This window comes from Homo sapiens, chromosome 3 (assembly GCF_000001405.40).
Source record: "Homo sapiens chromosome 3, GRCh38.p14 Primary Assembly".
NCBI lineage: Eukaryota > Metazoa > Chordata > Mammalia > Primates > Hominidae > Homo > Homo sapiens.
In genome coordinates, this window is record NC_000003.12 from 58731256 (window position 1) to 58750914 (window position 19659).

General features: G+C 38.9%; 1 protein-coding gene across 22 annotated transcripts in view; it reads right to left on the minus strand.

The window, feature by feature from the left end:
• Window positions 1–19659, minus strand: part of CFAP20DC (CFAP20 domain containing) — a 333853-nt gene that overhangs the window by 15083 nt on the left and 299111 nt on the right. For 16 of the 22 annotated variants that reach the window (NM_198463.4, XM_011533456.3, NM_001351531.2 and 13 more), the window contains one exon: window positions 10753–11317. In NM_198463.4, the coding sequence (NP_940865.1) occupies window positions 11205–11317 (113 nt within the window). In that variant the 3' untranslated portion in view covers window positions 10753–11204. Of the gene's footprint in view, window positions 1–3216; window positions 3304–10752; window positions 11318–19659 lie in introns of those variants that run through there. The other 6 variants (XR_001740051.3, XR_007095648.1, XR_001740054.3 and 3 more) reach the window with 1 other exon arrangement.

Genomic DNA, 19659 nt, shown 5'->3' on the forward strand with positions numbered 1-19659 from the left:
GTTTGTTCTTTTTATTAGTTGTGAAGCTGAAAGCTGAATCCTACAACACCACAATTCTTGATATTTTCACTCCTCTGAACATGTGAGTTTAATTCAAGATAAGAAATGCTTCGAGTCCTGTTAAACTTACACACTGTCTGTTGTGTTATGAATTGTAGGGCACATTTCAGAACAAGTGGAGGGCTGATTATAAATGATCCTTTGGTGCCAGCAAAAAAGGTGGTAGCTCAGGATGCTAGGTTACTATAAAAACACCAGGGGAATGGGAAGAGTGAAAGGATGCCATGTGGAGAAGAAATAAATTTCTGAAATAATACCTGCATGCCACGTCTAATGTTTTCCTTTCATTAAATTCATAGGTAATAAGAAGAATGCTGCTAATATGCAAAAATATCAATAACCTTGAAATGTATTTAGGTATATGTGAAGGTAAATTCTCAAGGGCTTTTAAAAAATATAGATTCTTTTTAAGTATGCGGTACAGCAGATAAACAGAACAAAATATTTTTCAAGCTGCAACCACGGAGCTAACAACTAAGCAGGAAGAAAGGCGCCATGATTAATGCTCCATCTATTAATAAGCAATTTGGACTTTAGCCATCAATAGAACCATTGTTGGTCAATAGTGCCACCAACAGTTAAGTCATGAGGTTTGACATCAGCTAGGTCTGATAGATTCCTGCATCACCACTCAGGACAATTCCTGAGCCTGTTTGTGCCTCAGTTTCTTAATTTGTAAAGTAGATGAACACAGTTGCGAGGATTAAATGAGAAAATATGCACATACAGTTCAGTGCGATGCTTGGGAGTGCAGTGAGAGCTCAATAAATGGTTGTGCTGACAATAAAGATGATGAGGACAATCATCAAGAGAGTCATTTCAACTCAGTGGTAAGATTACAATTTCCAGGGCAGAATAAAGCATTCAGCAGAGTCACGGTCCAAGGCCTACCCTAATGACTCGTTAGGTCAATTAAAAAAAGAGGACAATTTCTCATTGATATAGAAACTGATGGTATTTGTCAAATTCAGCTCAGTAGAAATGCCACAGGAATAACACAAAATGCATTTTTAAAAACTACTGAGCTTTGCATAGAAACCTAAGTAGTACTTGTTATGATAAAGTTGTAGATATTGTTTATAGAATGTGATCAGGTGGCAGAGTGACAACCTGAACCTCGAGTGGTCCAGGATGAATCAAGAGATGCTTTCACTGACCTTTATCATTTCACGTGGATGAAATTATAACTTTCAGAAAGCATTATAATAAATTTATAGTGCACACTATTTTAGAGGCTGACATGTACAGTTCTTTTTCCAGCTCAGTATTGAAAATGGAAATAAAACCGAATGGTGCTAGAATTAGTAGGAGAATTAAGAGAGTAAGGAGAAAAACTGCTTCTCACTCTAATGGGTTTATAACACCCAACGTGGCACGAAAGCCGTGGCAAAAACAGTTACTCAAAGGAATTGTAAATTTCCCTCCTCTTCTCTATTTTCTTGCCAAAGGCAGAAAATACCTCAGAAAGAGATGGAAAACCATGGTTTTGAAGACACTGGTATGTCTTTGGTGAAATGTTCTATATCTATAACTTGTGATTAAGCTCAGGATAGACATTTGGAGAGAACCATTTGTAGGGGATGGCTGACCTTCCGAGTAGAAAATAAATGCAAAGCTGAAGAGGATTATTTCTATAATTTCTTAACATAATCTTATCCAATCATTAGAAAAACCTCATTAATTTTGTCTACGGGGAAGAGAGCCAGTCTGAAATTGTATAAAATCTTGATTATAGGGCAGGCGTGGTGGCTCACGCCTGTAATTCCAACACTTTGGGAGGCCGAGGCAGGTGGATTGCCTGAGGTCAGGTGTTTGAGACCAGCCTGGCTAACATGGTGAAACCCCGTGTCAACTAAAAATACAAAAAATAGCTGGGCGTGGTGGCGCATGCCTGTAGTCCCAGCTACTCGGGAGGCTGAGGCAGGAGAATCACTTGAACGCAGGAGGCAGAGGTTGCAGTGAGCCAAGATTGCGCCACTGCACTCCAGCCTGGGTGATAGGGCAAGACTGCACATGTACCCTAAAACTTAAAGTATAATAATAAAAAAAACAAAAAAAAACTTGATTACAGACTCTGTTTAAACAAATATACCTTATTTCAAACATTCGTCATATACTCTGAGGGAAAAAATGTATTAACAGATAAAGATGAGGTGATTTGGAATAATCCTACACCATACCATGAAGAATAAAAGTAAAAAAAACCCTTTAACATACATGAGCTGCTTGGCCCAGAACTGATCATTTCTGAAAACCTTGTTTTAAAAAGACACTGTTGATTTGGTCTTGGATTCTTATTATTTTACTCAGGAGTAGGATTCTGAACATTTATAGTGGAGTCAATTATTTTAATCATATGGGTCAGACCCGAAATATTACAAATACTAAATAAATACAGCTTCAAAGAATTTCTGGAGTATCTATTTTCTAACTACATGGCCCCAGGTGTTAATCTATAATCAGGGTTGCCCCTATTTCTCCAAATTCTCAGGAAATTGTTAGTTTTCTTTACAACTTATTGCATGAAACTAATGGTCCCATTTTTTTCAGAGTATTAATAAAACATTTGTTTTAGCTTAGTCTTATAATAGGGTAAAATATGAAGCTCTAACTTTAATATATTAAAGCATGTGATACGGTTTTGCTGTGTCCCCACCCAAATCTCATGTTGAACTGTAAGCCCGTGTTGGGGGAGGAACCTGGTGGGAGGTGATTGGTCATGGGGCAGATTTCCCCTATGCTGTTCTCATGATAGTGAGTGAATTCTCAGAATATCTGGTTGTTTAATAAAAGTGTGTAGCACATCCACATTCACTCTCTCTCTCTCTCCTGCTCTGCCATGGTGAGACATGGTGGCTTCCCTTTTGCCTTCTGCCATGATTATAAGTTTCATGAGGCCTCTCAGCCATGCTTCCTGTACAGCCTGCAGAACGGTGAGTTAATTAAATTTCTTTTATTCATGAATTACCAAGTTTCAGGTAGTTGTTTAAAGCAGTGTGAGAATGCACTAACACAGTATGTATGTGCCCATATATACTTTCAGGAATGATGCTATAGTCATTGTTTATCACCAGAGTTCCAAACCTGAAAGTCCTCGGTCTGACAGGCCTAGGCTTAAATAATAATCACACCAGTGAACATTTACTGAGTGCTTACCATGTGCTAAGTGCTTTTTCTTCGGTGGTCCATTTGTCAGCATCTTGGATGTCTCCAAGCTCTCCAGCTTTCTGGGATTAAATCATCCTTTAAGGTTTTAGAAAAAAAACAAACTCAGTCTCACTTCACAAATGGATGTCATCCCATTTCTGCTCTGCAAAGCTCCCTGGGCAGGTGCCTATGGTCCCCAAGTTCCCTCTAACTTGGTGATTGCCTTCCTGTCTCTTGGCCTCCATTCTTCCTTTCCCTTTCCCCTCTTGCCCTCTCTTTTCTGCACCATGTCACCTCACTGTGCATCCACTGTTTCAGTTCCTTCACAGCCCAAAGCACTTACCATTCAAGGCTGTGTACAAAACAGACTTTACAAAAGGCTTACAACTTTGAGGGGAGTTATTGAAGCAAGATTTTAAATTCCTAGTGCTCTCCCATCATCTCGTATTTAGAAGAACGCTACAGATAATGGGAAATTGAAAGCCACAGGTCTACACCTTTGCTCAGATTGAAATAGATGGCATCTTTATGTGGGAAAAAAGAGACCTGACTCACCAGGGGCTACTATAAATGGAAAGACTCCAAAACCTCCTAATAATATTTAACTTAATAATGCTAAGTCACAAAGGTTTTGTAAACTGGTGGATCCTAGTAATAAAACAGATACACACAGACACACACATACTAATTTTAATAGTCTAAACCAGTGGCTTCCATCATTTTCACGTGGTCACTTAATAAACCTTTCTCCCTTTGTTAATTTGGAAGCTGAAACCTAGCTATGTTCACATAGCATATAATCTGACACCTGGGAACGAAAATGAGTTTTGCTCAAAATGCGTACAAGACAGAGTGAAGAAAGCCAAACAAAACAAAATAGGTCATGTTTTCCATTCTAGTGATCATCAACCACATGGGGTTAAGGCAAGTTGTCAGAACATTATTGGATTGCCCACAAATGAAATCCATCAAGTGATGGTTAGTCTGTTGATTGAAACTCTCAAACGTCACTGCTACCATGTGCCTTTGGGAATTCCCAAACTGCTCATTCTGGCACCACAGGAAGTGAAGAAGAGCAATAAAGACAAGAAATGAGAATAGGTTAAGCCAGAGGGTCTCAGCCTTGGCACACATTAGGATCACTTGGGGGAGCTTTTATATATCATGATGCCCAGGCCACAGCTCAGGCCAGAGGAGGTAGGAATCTCCATGAATGGGACCCAGGCAGCAGCATATCTTAGAGTCCCCAGATAATGCAATGTGCAGTCAATGCTGACAGCCACTATATTAGATTGAAAGCAACAACTAGCAAAACATGGAAAAGGTGATCAAAAATGTATTAAAAATGCAAACAGTGATGTCCCTTATAAATTAAGGATATAAACATTACCAGTGATAATGTATTTGCTGACCACAGCCGATTATAACAGGAATCTCTGGACTTACTATTTATCTGGACTTTGTAACACTCATAGATTCTTATGCTTAGCTAAAAAATGGCGCCACCATTTTTTTTAACTTAAATCAAATATCTCTTGATAATGGTGATGTTCTTGAGAAGTACCTGACCTGAGAAGATTAAAATCTCTTGAAACAGGTGAATTGAAAAGATATTATAAGTATACTGTCCAGACCTAGGTACTGAGATGAATTTTAGAACTACATAGATATCAAAAGTCAAAGAAAACACAAGTATTGGAGGGAAAAAGATACTATGCTTACTAAGATTAACCCACAAGAAGATGCTAGTAATATCAATTTCTTTGGCCAAAAAAGTTTTAAAGGAAAAAGGAAGCTCTCTTCAACTGAGTTGGCTAAAAGGTTTGTAAGTTTTCAGGGTCTGAAATGTCTGAATCATTTTTGCAAGTAGTGGAAAAAACAAATGGTGAAATTTTGATTGATTTTCTTTGAGATAATCTTTGGTTTATGAAGCCATAAAGCAAAACTGGGGATGATTCTAATCCCATTATTAATCTCATGATTTATTTATAGATTACTAAAACTCCATCATTAATAAAAGTTATACTTCAGACTGGCATACTATCAGAATAAATAAAGAGAGTTTTTCCCTCCTGGAATTCTTAAGCCAAATACTCTCATATAATTTTGCTTATCTCAGTTTTTAAGGTCTCAAGAGCACCTCACTCCCATGGCTTTGGAAGTATCCGCTACAGCACATTAGAGCTAATTTCTCCTGATCCACCTGTTAAAATATTGACCGTACTTATTACCATTAGGAGCAAGTTTATATGCTTAAATCTTGCCAGGTTCAGCATAAACATTGACAATGATAAGTTGGGCTGATGAAAACCAATCAATACTATTTCCTACACATCACTTTCGTAATGCCTCACAGAATTACAGGTGATTAACTGCAGAAGAATATGTCAGCAGTAAAAATTAGTGTTATCTGTGGTCCATGTTTATTGGTCATTTAATTCTTATAAGTCAAATTATTTTGACTTAATGTGATTCTAAATTACATTAAAACCACGCAAACCAGAACCAAAATATTCATTAAGATGTAAGACTCCAATATTCATGATGAATGAACTTTCATTTAGATTTATCCTTTGTTATAAGTTAACCATATTACCTACAGTTATAAGTTTGTATAATTTAAAATATGACAAAGAAAATATCTGCAAGAGACCAAAGCCTCAGACTTAAGAAATGTTCAGGCTTCAGCATACCTTGTTTTGGATGAAAAGTGGGTCTAAAAAATCATCTTGTTACAGCCTGGTCAGGAGTGTGTGAAATATCTGGGCAAAGCAAAAAACAAAAAGCAAAGAAACACACAAAATTCCACTAACCACCCCCCACCCCACTACCAAATCTCTCTCACACACACACACACACAGACACACACCCACCCACCCAACTAACCAAACAAGCAAGCAAGCAAACAAACAAACAAACTGAGGATGGGGGACACATTTCTTGAGTTCTGGTGGGAGTCAGGGCTCCCAGCTCTGGAGGAGTGATCTACAGCAGCATTTCTCAAAGGATGTGAGTGGATAAAACCCTTGAGATGTTCTACAGAAAAAGAGTTCTGTAGACAAATTGGAGAAGTGTCACTCACCCACTGGAGATTACCTGTGCATGTTAGTCTATTAAAGCCACTGAGAACTACTCCAGTAAAGACAAATGACAATTACCACTAGTCCAGTATTTTCCACCTTGGTTTGACAATGGACCTCTTCCCCACTCCCACTGCATTTATTAACATTTAGTGGAAGTTCTGTTTCTTGGAAAACATTTTGGGAAACGCTGATCCTTGAGGTGTAAAGGCTGACAACTGAGGGAAAAAAGAGTGTGCATGGAGCAAAAGAAACGGAAATGCTCAGTGAGAACCAGAAATCCCAGACTCCTGAAAGGGTGCCAGTGTCCTCAGGTGACCTCTGTTCCGGGTTTGTGATGTCCATCTCCATCTGTCATTTGCATTCTCTTCTCAATTCCCACCTTGACAGGACTTCTCAATCTGAATCTCACTTTTCTCAATTGTAAAATCAGAGCATTTAAAGAATGATCTTGATTGTCCTTTCTAGGCCCAATTAGACAATTTTATCTTAACTAGTATAATGGAGAAAAAGAGAAAATAGAATTTGCTTGACAAGAATTCTCTTTATGACTAACTTTTCTGGAATGCAAAATGAATGATGTACGAAATAGAAATCCTATGATAAAACCATATGTGAACAGGTGATAACAGGCAATTCTTTTTTTTTAATTTTTAAGTTCCAGGGTACATGTACAGGATGTGCAGGTTTGTTATGTAGGTAAACGTGTGCCATGGTGGTTTGCTGTACCTATCAACCCATCACCTAGGTTATTAAGCCCAGCATGCATTGGCTATTCTTCCTGATGCTCTCCCTCCCCTCACCCCACCCCCAACAGGCCCCAGTGTGTGCTGTTCTCTTCCCTGTGTCCATGTGTTCTCATTGTTCAGCTCCCACTTATAAGTTAGAACATGCATGTTTAGTTTTCTGTTCCTGCATTAGTTTGCTGAGGATAATGGCTTCCAGCTCCATCAATGTCCCTGCAAAGGGCATGATCTCCTTCCTTTTTATGGCTACATAGTATTCCATGGTGTATATGTACCACAATTTCTTTGTCCAGTCTACCATTGATGGGCATTTGGGTTGATTCCATGTCTTTGCTATTGTGAATAGTGCTGCAATGAACATATGTGTGCAGGTATCCTTGTAGTAGAATGATTTATATTCCTTTGGGTATATACCCAGTAATGGGATTGCTGGGTCAAATGGTATTTCTGGTTCTAGGTCTTTGAGGAAGGTGATTCTTAATTTTCATTATTCTGGCCATTTTGATTGAAGTTTGACAGTCACAGGGTGTAACCTGGAACAAACCATGTTTTGATAGTGTACTTGATGTCATTCCACAGTTTTTAAAAAAGAACAGCTCAGAAACTTCCAGAAGCAAGATCTTTAATTAAAACCATGGGACAATTTTTAAATTAATTCTTTCAATTAATTGTGCTTCAGGTTGTACATTCTGTGACTACATTATTCTTATTAAACACAGTTTGCGCCTAAAGAAGGATCAAGATGTTATTGAAATGACTGATTTAAATGAAACTAATCTAAAAATCAAGAAAATATAATAGGGCAAGATTTTTTTGGCAAAAGTGTCTATGTATTATGAATATATCAGTATTTTCCTTTAATAAAAGTTAAATTAATTGGAGATAGCAAGAACTTATAATTACCAGGGAAACTAAATCATTGATCTGATGCCACTATTGCTGACAGTTGTTTTCCCATAATTCCCACTAACCAGCCTCTGTAATTACATGATAATTTTGAGATTGATGACTTAAAAGTCACTTGTAAGTTGCATCCCGATTATATGAAACAAGGAACTGTTTGAATCAGTCCCCAAACTGATACCAAATTATCTTAAGATGTACTTCTACATTGAATCAATCTATTTTTTTTAGTCTCCATTTGCAATCATTTTGGATAAAAATGTTTGGTACACACTTGATTAGAAAAGTAGAAATTAAAGTCTTAAAATGAAAACTAATAATACAGGCTCTTCCTCACAGGTGCATATGCCATTAGGCAAAGCTCCTGCCTTCTCTGCATGTCAGATCTAATCTATAGCAATGGTCTCAACCCTGACTGCATATTGGCATGGCTGGGGAGGTTTTAAAAATTTCCAGTGCCCAGGCTACACCTGAAACTAAGCAAGTTAGACTCTCTGGGTGTAGAACCTGGGCATCGGTATTTTTATTAACTTTCCAGAAGATTCTAATATGCAATGAAATTTGATAACCAGTGAACATGTATAGCCTAGTTAATGAATTTCCAAGTAAACTGGTGGTACCAATTTAATTTAAAATTGGCACTGGGAAGCACATCTATTTTTGTTTTTCAACTCTTCTGTAGAAATCTCAACAGAAATGAAGCTATAAAAAGGGGATAATAAGACCTTGTGGTAGACACCTTTAGAATGTCTACTCAGATCACAGGGACTCCTTAATTGCTTTCCTCCTTCATCCACAGAAGAGGGTCCTGGTGGCCCCTGGAACAAACAAACTGGTGAACTGGAATCCCAATTCTGGGATTTTTGAATTGACATTGGGAGTTAACATTTCTGCATGGTTGGGTATGTGGGCACTGGAGTGGTTGGGTGCTCTGGCAGGTGGACTGAGTAGCTGAGAAATGTATGAGAAGAGAGAAGAGAAAAGAGAGAAGAGAGAAGAGATGGCAAAATCAATCAGAGATGAGCGGCAGAGCCAATGCTTCTAGACTGCCAGGATAGACATCTGTGGTTTTTGCCTGTCTGACACCCCTCCCCATTTTCTTAACAGTGCCCTCTTCTCCTTCAGGGAGTATCTCATTCCCATTCCATGCGGTCCTGGGGATAACTGATGAGTTAATCCTACCATCCTCTTGCTCCTTGAGCAGAGACCTGAGGCAGAAAAAAGTGGTGCTGTCAATTTGGTGGCCATCATCATGAGAAACTGTTGGTTGCTGCTATAGGGATCTCTGGGGCTGCTCTGATGTCTGTGCCTCCCAGAGCTTGATTGTTCAGCAAGTCTTTGAATTCTGGGATCAAGGGTGTCTGTTGCTTGCAATTTAAGAATCCCAACAGAGTTCACTACAGTCCTCTAGGTCCCAGCCCAAATCTATTCAGAGGCCTTATAGCCTTACAGCATTCTGTTTTGGGGCATTTGAGGCATTCCTGTATCCTAATTTTTTTTTTCTTCATCTAGCTCATGTTGTTTTTGATATTTATAACTACAAGTCTTCACGAATATAAATTTTAATTGACTCTCTTATTTATGTCATATGTCCCTTATATATGGTCCTGAGACTATTTAAAGCAGAAACAAGGCCTTCCAAGCCCTATTACAATCTTTAAGGTCATAATCAACAAACCCAACTCTTTTATCATTTTGCATGCTTTGGAAAGCTTAATTTATTCATTTTCATTTTGTTAAGTATGAAGATCTTGGAGAGAAATTCATAACAAAGGCATACTTTGTGAACAACAGGATTAAAAGCTTATCAAACACAAATATGGTTCTAAATAATGTATGATACTTGGAACAGGAGTCCAAATCTACTCCTGTAAAAAGAGCTCTTACTTCCTCTATCAAGCAATATTAAATGAAATTATAGTACCACCATTAAATCCAACTGTACACCAATAAATTTTCATTTCCAATGGTACTCTTCTTTATTAAAAAATCTTTATTAAATAACAAAATATGCCAGCTAATATAATAAGTACTTCCTTGAGCTCAATATTAATATAGTTGGCACACAATTCGAGGCTGTCTACCCGAATGCAGAAGCACATGACTTTTTCCTTGTGATCCGGCAAGCAGAGTTAGACGGACATCAACTGAAAAACCAAAGAAAGCCTCTGGGATTTCTTCAGGCCCAGGCAGGTCACAGGAGTGGTGATGAGTGTGTGTGTGTGGCAGTGGGGGGATTTCAAAGAGGTTATTTCTATATAGATCTAGATGAATCTATTATTAGAATTCAGAGATAATTGTCAAAATATTTTTTTTTTTTTTTGAGACAGAGTCTCGCTCTGTTGCCCAGGCTGGAGTACAGTGGGGCGATCTTGGCTCACTGCAAGCTCTGACTCCTGGGTTCGCGCCATTCTCCTGCCTCAGCCTCCTGAGTAGCTGGGACTACAGGCGCCCTCCACCACACCCGGCTAATTTTTTGTATTTTTAGTAGAGATGGGGTTTCACTGTGTTAGCCAGGATGGTCTCGATCTCCTGACCTCGTGATTCACCCACCTCTGCCTCCCAAGATTTTTTTTTTTAAAAGAAAAATACAGTGCTAAGCAGCTTAAGTGATGAACAATGTTGTGATCTCCAGCAAACTCTGGATGAACAATAATGAAATGGAAATAGTGGGTCCAGTGCCAATAAAATGTGATCATAAAGTCTGACCAGTTCACAATGTTTCTTTTTCTAAGAGTCGAAGAGAAGGAAAGTATCATATAGGAATATTCTGGAAAAGAAAGTGGGGTGAATGAAAAGAAGCAGTTTAAAAGCTATTCTTCTTACCATCATACTTTATTTTTAATACAAATGCCATAAAATAAAAGGTACCCAGGCATCTTTTAAGCAAAAATACATTTTCTGTACATCAAGCCATCATTTACAGATTAACACTGCAAAAAATTTGAATGAATAACTCTTAATTTGTTTACATAAAATTATCTGAAATAAACAAAATTATATGTAGAATGAGAACAAACAAGAACCAATTCAAACTCCTAAAATCTTGCCTCTGTATTAATTTCTTCAGTTTCAAAATCATACTCATCTACAAAAGGAATATAGGTATTCTTAACGTTGAACATTATTTACAAAATGAATTCGTTTCTCTCAGTTACTGTTGATTTTGTGGTCACCCAACACATAAGTTGTGGTGACTCCTTAAGCGACCCTGAACTGCTATTCTGCTCCAGCTGGGAGTGCCTGCTCTCTGCCCCGGAAGGAGGCATTATACCAACTCATAGTATTTCCCTGTTTGGGGGTCAAAGTAACAGTTCAGACAAGGGTCATACAACAAAGTCAGTACTTCCTCGTCCTCTTCCACACTGAGGTCTTCTTCACCTGTGGGGAAGGGGAACCACAGACACATTAGCTGTTGGCTTGGCCCGGAATCCCCAAACAAGGGCAACGAAGCAGGAATCACCATCTCTCCTGGGGGATTTTCTTTATGCAGGTAGAAGGTTTAGGCCTGAAGGAAGAGCACTGTGGAAGTGGTGAGACTCTAAACATGTGGTTCCAGGTGGAGAAGAAACACCAGTGACCAGAAGGACCAACTTCTTGACAAAGGACAAGAAAAACTGAGTGTGGAGAACTGGCAGGAGGGGAAGGAAGAAAGGGAGAGGGCCAAAAGACTTAAGAGTTATGCTTATTAGGATTAGGAAACTTGCCAGGATCCAAAACTAATTGTCACAGTTCTAAACTTCTTCATGGGCCAGAGCTGTACAAAATGCAAAACAGTGCAAACTAACTAATAAAATAGAAAACTTGATCCGCATTCAATCATCCTAAAAAGGCTACCAAACAAATATGAATTAAAATAATAGAACTATAAGATACATAGAACAGACAACATACACAGAAAAAAAATGTCAGGTGATTTGTAGTTTTATTAGTGGTGGCGGGAAGTCTGCTCAGTGTTTTGGGGATAGAACATGGCTTGATGTTTTCTCTCGTGACAGCCATTTAGATGGATTGGACAGAGAGGACAACTGTCTAAGTCATTATCGAGGCCTGCTGGCTTCCAACAAATGGCATGAAATGAAAAAAAAAAAACAACTGTTCTACAAAGATGTTTCCTGAGCACCTTTTATGTGTTCAGTGTTGTGCTAAGTACTTTTGTATTCAAAAGTGAGTGCATTCTGAGTACTTCTGAAAGTTCATGTAATGAGTTCAGGGACTGAGAGGTCAAGACCTTCCCAGCCAGAGAAGATCAGAGAGTAGGCTCAGGTAGAAAGAGGTAATAAGAAAACACTCCTCTCCCTTCAATAGCACAGGCTATTAAAGACCGAAACCAAACCAAAACCAAACCCCAAACCCAACCCAACCCTGAAGCTTTGGGCTATGTGCTCACCAGGGTGAGCTTCAGAAGAGTTTGGATGGTGGGTATGGTGCAGGGCTCACTCATAATAGAGGTGCAATAAAAATGGAATGTTTGTTGAAGGTGTAAATAAAAGCCCATGATCTTAAGTGTCACTGCCTAGAGGAAGGGAGGATGGTGGTGGTGGTTGTGGGGTTCCATCTTACTCAGCCAAAATCAGACCAAGCTGGTGCCTGAACATTGTCAGGACATTGACAAACTGGAGTTAAGTCCAAGGGAGTGGTGCCTACATGGTGAAGTGGGGGTTTAAAACTGTACCACAGCCACTCCTCTGCCCACTTTTCTCCTAACCATCCAAAAACACATTTAGTGTGATCCTTCCATGAGCCGGACACTGAGTTAGGTGTTCAGGACATGATGACAAGAAACAATCCCTATTCTAATGGACTATGCAGAGAAACAGGTGAAATGTGAAATCTGCTGATTCTTGTGAGTTGAGTGCAGTGCTAGCAGTCTTTAAAAGTGGAGTTCAACTGAGGAATGATTACATCTGCCTTGGTTGCTAATACCTCATTGGTAGAGCCCTTGATGGTTTAGAAAGCTCTTTCTCATGTAGTAGTTCATTTGGCCCTCATGACCCTGTGGAATACGCAGGAATTATCATGCCCATTTTATAGATGAGGAAACCAGGGTTCACAAAGTTGAACAGCTCATCTGAGGTTTGTTGGTGAGTTAGAGGCAGAGCTGGGGACACTCTCAGTTTCCAGAGTAAGAGTTCAGTGTTCTTTCTACCAGTCAGAGTACTTTGTACCAGTCTATTCAGTCGGACCTTGATTATGCTAAAGGAGTGGTGTAACATGTTTAATTCGGAGCTATTACATTGAAGGAATTTAGACATAGAAAAGACTAATAAAAAATTTAAAAGTGTCCTACATTTTAATAAGTCAGGTTTGGAAACAAAGAAATCTGATTTCTCATAGTTCAAAAATATTGTTAAAGATGAGAGAGTCCCTGGGGGAGGGCAGAGGCAAACAGTTCAATAAGTCCAAAGGAAATGGGCTTGTTAACTCCAGAAAAGAGAAAGCTTGATGAGGTGACAGCAGCCCTTCTGGATTCAAGCATATGAAGGGTGGCATAGGAGTGAGAAGTTAAGAAAATCTGGGGTTCCAGGAGGAAGCCATAGGATCAACAGGTGGAAGCTAAGAGGAGCCATTTTTTTGGGGAGGCTTAGCACAAGGAAGAATTTTCTAAGCATTAGAGCTGACCAGCAAATGAAACATGTACTCTGGAAAGGGTGAAGCAGAGAGTGGGGCAACGATTTGTGCAGAATTTTGTAGATGAACTGTGCTTAGAACAGGGGACCAGATCCAATGATCCCTGTAGTGCTTTTGATGAGCTTCTGTGACTCTGGGCTGCAGCAGTTTATATCTTTGAAGTATGAAAGGACTTTGCTAACAACCACATTAATAATGGTAGCTGACCTGACCACCCTGCACAGTTTCTAATTAAGAACAGGAACTCAGAGAAGGAAGGCTGCGTTTCCTTTATCTTCTTCTGTTGTCTTCAGAGTCCCCAGGGCCCTGCCTCTATCCTTGAGAGTATTCCTCAAATGGTCATTCCATATTGAAAATGACCCCCTTTAGATCACTTTTTCACATCAAAGGAGAGTATGTACATCCTCTACTTTCAGATATTCAATCCATTATGCCTTTAAAGTTTGGACTACTTGAGAGAAATGAATAAAGTTAGTTTATCAATTAGTATCTGCTATGTGATTGAGCTGGGCATAGTCTAGTTGTGAATGTGACACAAACACATGAAGCAAAAGCAGCTACTAAAGATTAATGAGGAGTTAAACTGGAAGGCTCTACTGCTGAGTGGCTAAGAGCACTCAAGGGCTCTAGAATCCAATACACTGGGGGCGAATGGAAGCTGGGCTGCTTACTGCCTAAAGCTGGCTACAGATCATTTCACCTCATCGGACCTTGGTTTCCTTGTTTACAAAATGGGAATAACAATGCCTATTTGGTAGGGTTTTGAGGAAGATTAAATTAGACACTGGTAATATGCATAACACAGCACACATAGTAGTTGTTTAATAAATGATAGTTACTATTAGGGATGATAATATAATAAATCATGAACTATAGGCTATAACTTTCTTAGTAACTCAGGATGGAAGTACTGATGTCGCTTAAAGTGTGAAGAAAAGGCTTCATAGAGGCAGGAAGGATGATGTTTAGACAATGGAGTCAGACAAACTCAGGTCCAAATCCCATTTCTACCATATCACAGCTGTGGGATATTGGGAAATTCACTGCTCTGAGCCCCAGCTTCCTCATATGTAAAGTACAGATAATAAAAGTACCTGTCATTGTTCCTATGAGGACTAAATAACACTCAGCACATGTACACAGTAAGTACTCAGTAAATGTTATCACCATCATCATGGAAAACAGGATATGTGAGCCAGACACAAAAAGGGTTATGTACGTTTATACCTTATTCCCTACCTGAAAACTCAATCTGTTTGATTTTTTTTACAACCCCAAAACATAGTGGATTTGAAAGAAACAGAAAGACCCCCAATTAGTTTTATATAGAACATTAGGATAAATTCATCTTTAAATAAAAAAACAGTTCTTATACCAAAAATTGTGTATGTTTCCAAAAGTAAAACTAATTTTTTCCATCAGGTGTAATGTTTAAATCACATATCCCTGAGGTAAATGATTATAAGTGAAACTCTCAGGGACCTGCCATTGGATTCTGTCTTACTCCATCAGCACATCATGGGGAACTCAGACCTCTGGCACGTAAGAGTTATATGCTATATAATTATTCAGTGTATTCTGTGCCTATGTTTGCAAAAAAGATACATTTTTAAGCTGGTGCTATTAAATGAGAAAACAAAATATATTTACAACCAGTTGGGAATCTTTCAAGATGAAAACAACCATTGTAATGGCCATGGGTCTTTATCACCCATTTGCAAAGGGATCGAGGTAGATCCAATTCATTAGTAGAGGTTTTGCTACATAATGCATACAAACTGGAGCAATAACTGCGATATAAATGCATTCATTCCAATACATATCACTATAGAATGGGACCCTCGCGCATTATAACCATGGGGACTAAGATAGGTTTTTTGGTTTTTTTAGTACCAAAGCTTCAAATGGATGAATTTTAAAACTACCAACAATGACATTCATACAAAAATTGGGTGAGATTATGTATAATTTTATGTTGAAGTAAGTGCTTTAAGCTTACATAAAAGGTTTTGTTTTCATTGTAACTTAATTTTCAAAGCCTCCAACTTACATCATTTTGCCATTATAATCCCTACGTAATGAAATTATAATATCATTACGCAATTACCACTATGATGTCAAGCATTGGGAAATGTTTTGAAAGGTAATTATCGTGGATGGGTATGGGGTAATTTTCAATTATATTCTTGGATAGAGCTGAGTTTGTTTTTCCTCAAAATGCTAAATTGCTCTATTTAAAGATTGGCTACAGAAACTCTAGAAGGACAAATTAACAAATAAAACCATTTTCTGCTACTAGACTAAGAGCATCTGGATAGGGGTCCAAATTACATTTTTTTCTCTTCTACACACAATAAAGCCATTTCTAGTGAAATAAAATTACCTTTCAGATAATAATCTATTTACAAACTTTCAGCCTCATCCACTCTGAAATTGGTTAACGGCAATAACAGAAGAAAAACCAATGGAGCCAGACCAAATGCAGCAATACGGGCTGCCCTTCTCTGGGTAGATCAGCTCGGGTAAATAATCCCTCCAGTTCACCTTCTGAAAGTCAATTAATATAAATGTTTAATTATCTATATTTAATGCATTTTAACTGTAGATAATAGAAAACCTACACACCCAAGATGTCTCTTCAAGCTTGAAAATAAATGATGTGGCACTAGTTTATCAGATTTAAAATCTCTGAATCAAGACATTGAACTGGATTTTCGATTTTCTGACACTGCCGTCTACATTTTTTTTAAAGTTAATGTATTTTCTCTCCTATAGATCTTGAGAACTGATTGACTGTATTTTTATGTGCATACTAATACACTATTGTTTAAGCAGTTCAACAGTGAGGGATCACCATTTGGAGCAGTCAGCCTTAGGATCAATGAAGATGACATTTTAGATAAGTTTCTGCTGAGTACTGGGTGCTTGCAAACTCTACCACCAACATATCTCACAGTAGGGCAAAATTAACTCACACTAAAGTCTGAGAAAGTCCACTGTGAACTGCTGAATTTCAGTTCTCAGCAAACATGTACCCTCAAATGGGAGAAAGATAAATAACCAACAATGGAAAGAAAACAATGAAATGCTACTTTCTTCCAATTAGAGGGCTATATTGTTTTTGAAAGGTAAATAACATTGCATTATTATATTTCAGGTGTCATTTGGGCAATAGGTACATTACCCCTTTTGTAAAAACTGGTGGCTATATTTTACTTGGAAAATGCCATTTTAGGGAACATGTTGAAGAACTTGGATCATTAATTAGGAATTATTACAATTTCATTATTTTCAGGTAGTCTCTACTTACAAATATGCAGTGATTCAGATGTGCAGTTGTAACCCTGTGGTTTACAACTCTAAACGCACTTTGTTACACGTGAAGGAGGGCACCTCTCCAAGGTACTGAGCTCTGAAGCCAACAGAGCCCATAATCTCTTAGGAGCCTGATTTTAAGCAAGGTATCAACGTTGAGCTATGGGAAAATGCATCCCAATTCCAGCAAGGAAAGCTGGGACCAGCCTTCTGGGTTGCACGTGGTGGATAGGTAGGTGGGGTGGTTCTGGAATAGGAGAAAGAGCCTCAGACACCTGCAATGTGTTTCGCTCTACTGGAGAGTTCACTTCTAGTGGCCCTGAAAAGAAGGCACCTCTTGATACTAGTGAGGCACTGATTTCCCCCGTCTGTAATCACTTCCTGCAGAGAAGACTCCCCCAGGACCCTGAGAGCTATGTAAGAGAAAATATCACCCTACTCACAGGGGAAGGGGCGGGGTCTCTGCATTAAAGGAATGTTAGAAAAACCAGGAATCATTTTATAATCTGAGAGTTGAGGTGGGGGTGCTATGGGTCTAAGAAGAGTACCAAGGTAAACACTATTTTATCCAGAAAGCTTCAAGAAAATACAACTTCCTAAATTAAAAAAATTGCAGTGGATATTTCACTCATGTGGTTCTTATCCACCTAAATAGGGATTCTGTGGTCACACTACAGTGTGGGATTTAAGGGTGTGGACACCCTGGTCAGACAGGTCTGGGTCAGTGTCCTGATGCACACTCAGGGTCTGTGACCCAGGCTAGCCCCTTACCTCATCTGTAAAGTGGGAACATAATATAACCCCACACTAAGCAGTGTTGGGAGGAGGTATGAGGTAATGCACAGAAAAATTCCAAACAGTGCCGGGTACACAATGGTGCTTTATTAATGCTGGCTTATTATTTTCATATGACCAATATTGCTCTTTTGGGAAAAGTCTCCTTTGCATCTGAAATAAATCTTCGAGGTACAAAAAAGATCAAAAGAATAGATCAAATCATTCTCATATTTCCTATGGCCAGTAGAGTCACTCATTCACTCATCAAATATTTATGGGGCATTTACTGTGTCCTAGAAGCCACACTAGGCATTGGGGATACCAGAGTTGTTCAGCAACTTTTAGACTCAGAGTATTAGGTAAATGTCAAAGAATTATGTGGCAGTTAATAGGAGGGCATGAAAGAATTCCTCTGTTGGAGAAGAGCAGGCAGCCAGATCCTAACCCCCACTTTACCCACAGAACAGAGCTTTTACCCACAGAACAGAGCTTCTATCTCCTCAATACAGGAGGATTCCTTCTTTCTGGTTAGCTGTGAGAAGCCATAACATTTCTGTAAACTCTTTACTAGTAATTTGGATATTACATCTATAAAATAAGCATCTGCTACCCATTTATATCTCATGGGAGATTAATCAACAACCATATGGGAATATTTGGTGTGGCTTTGCCATAAAAAAGGTATAAGAATATTATTTTTATGAGAATCAGGCAACTCCCAAACTCCTTCTGAATGCCTTTCTTACTCAAAATCTATGTAAACTACAAGACAGGGCTACAGGCCTGAAGACAGAGGTTATTATTCCATTTTGGAGCTGGTAAGCATGAATAATTTAAGGGTCATAACTGTAAAGGAACAAATGTCAAAAACAAATTGACAACTATTCTTTGAGCAAAGTATGGTTCATTTTCAAAAGGTCATTTTAGTAGTTTTCTCAAATAAGTTCTGAAATCTTAACTTCCCATTTTTACATTTCACACAAGTTCCAGGAAAACACATTTTAGTAAGTGTTAAGGGCACCATGTCCGATAGTAATTGATATTCAGCAAGTGTGTTATAGCCCAGGAGGAGCTGTGAAGAGCTGATCATTTCCCATCCAGTGGGATGTCAGAGATCCGAATGCAGTGCTCTTCCTGCTGGCCGGCTGTGATGGAAACCGGGCTGTTCACATGAATGTGGCATTCATGCACTTGAGACATTCTGGCTGAGCAGAAACTGGCTGTGACACAAACTCCTACTGAATAAAGTAGGGACAGGAACCTCTGACTCAAGGGCCAGATATAACTCATGCATTTACTTTTGTATGGCCTGGGGCAAGTTTTCTAGAATTATGTATCAGGCAGAGTATATTTCCCTGCTGATAAAATGCAGTAATTCCTCCAGCTGCAGAAATGCATCTTGGCTTCTCCATCTCTGATAGAGGTATGATGGCTCAGCACATCACTGCACTGCCCTAAGTCCCAATGTAACCATGTGGAAGATGGGATAATAATAGCATCCACACCTCACTAGGCTATTGTGAGAATTCAAGTGCACATGTAGGCCCGGAACACAGGAAGATTAAATAAATAGCTATTATTATTTATATCCTAGAAGTCCAAAGGTGGGCGATACCTTTCCCTGTGAATGAGCCCTCAGGCACCACATTCACACCTCAGTGAAATGGTTCTGTAGAAAGGGCAATGATGTGGGGGAAGCCTGGGCCCTAATCCCAGCTAGGGCTCTGACTGGGCATTTGATCTTGGTCAAGTCATTTACCTCTTTAGGCAAATTGAGGGGTTGGACCACATCAGTGTTTTTAACTGGTTCATCAGAGCCCCAGGGCAGGATTCTGAGATCCTAACCCCCACTTTAGCCAGAGCAGAGCTTTTATCTCTTCCATACATGAGGAATCCATATGAGATTTCACTTGAAAGAAAAGTTGTTACTGCTTATGAATAAAGTTTAAGAGCCACGGCATAAGGTGATCTATAACTCTTTAACTGCCAAAATATATGGG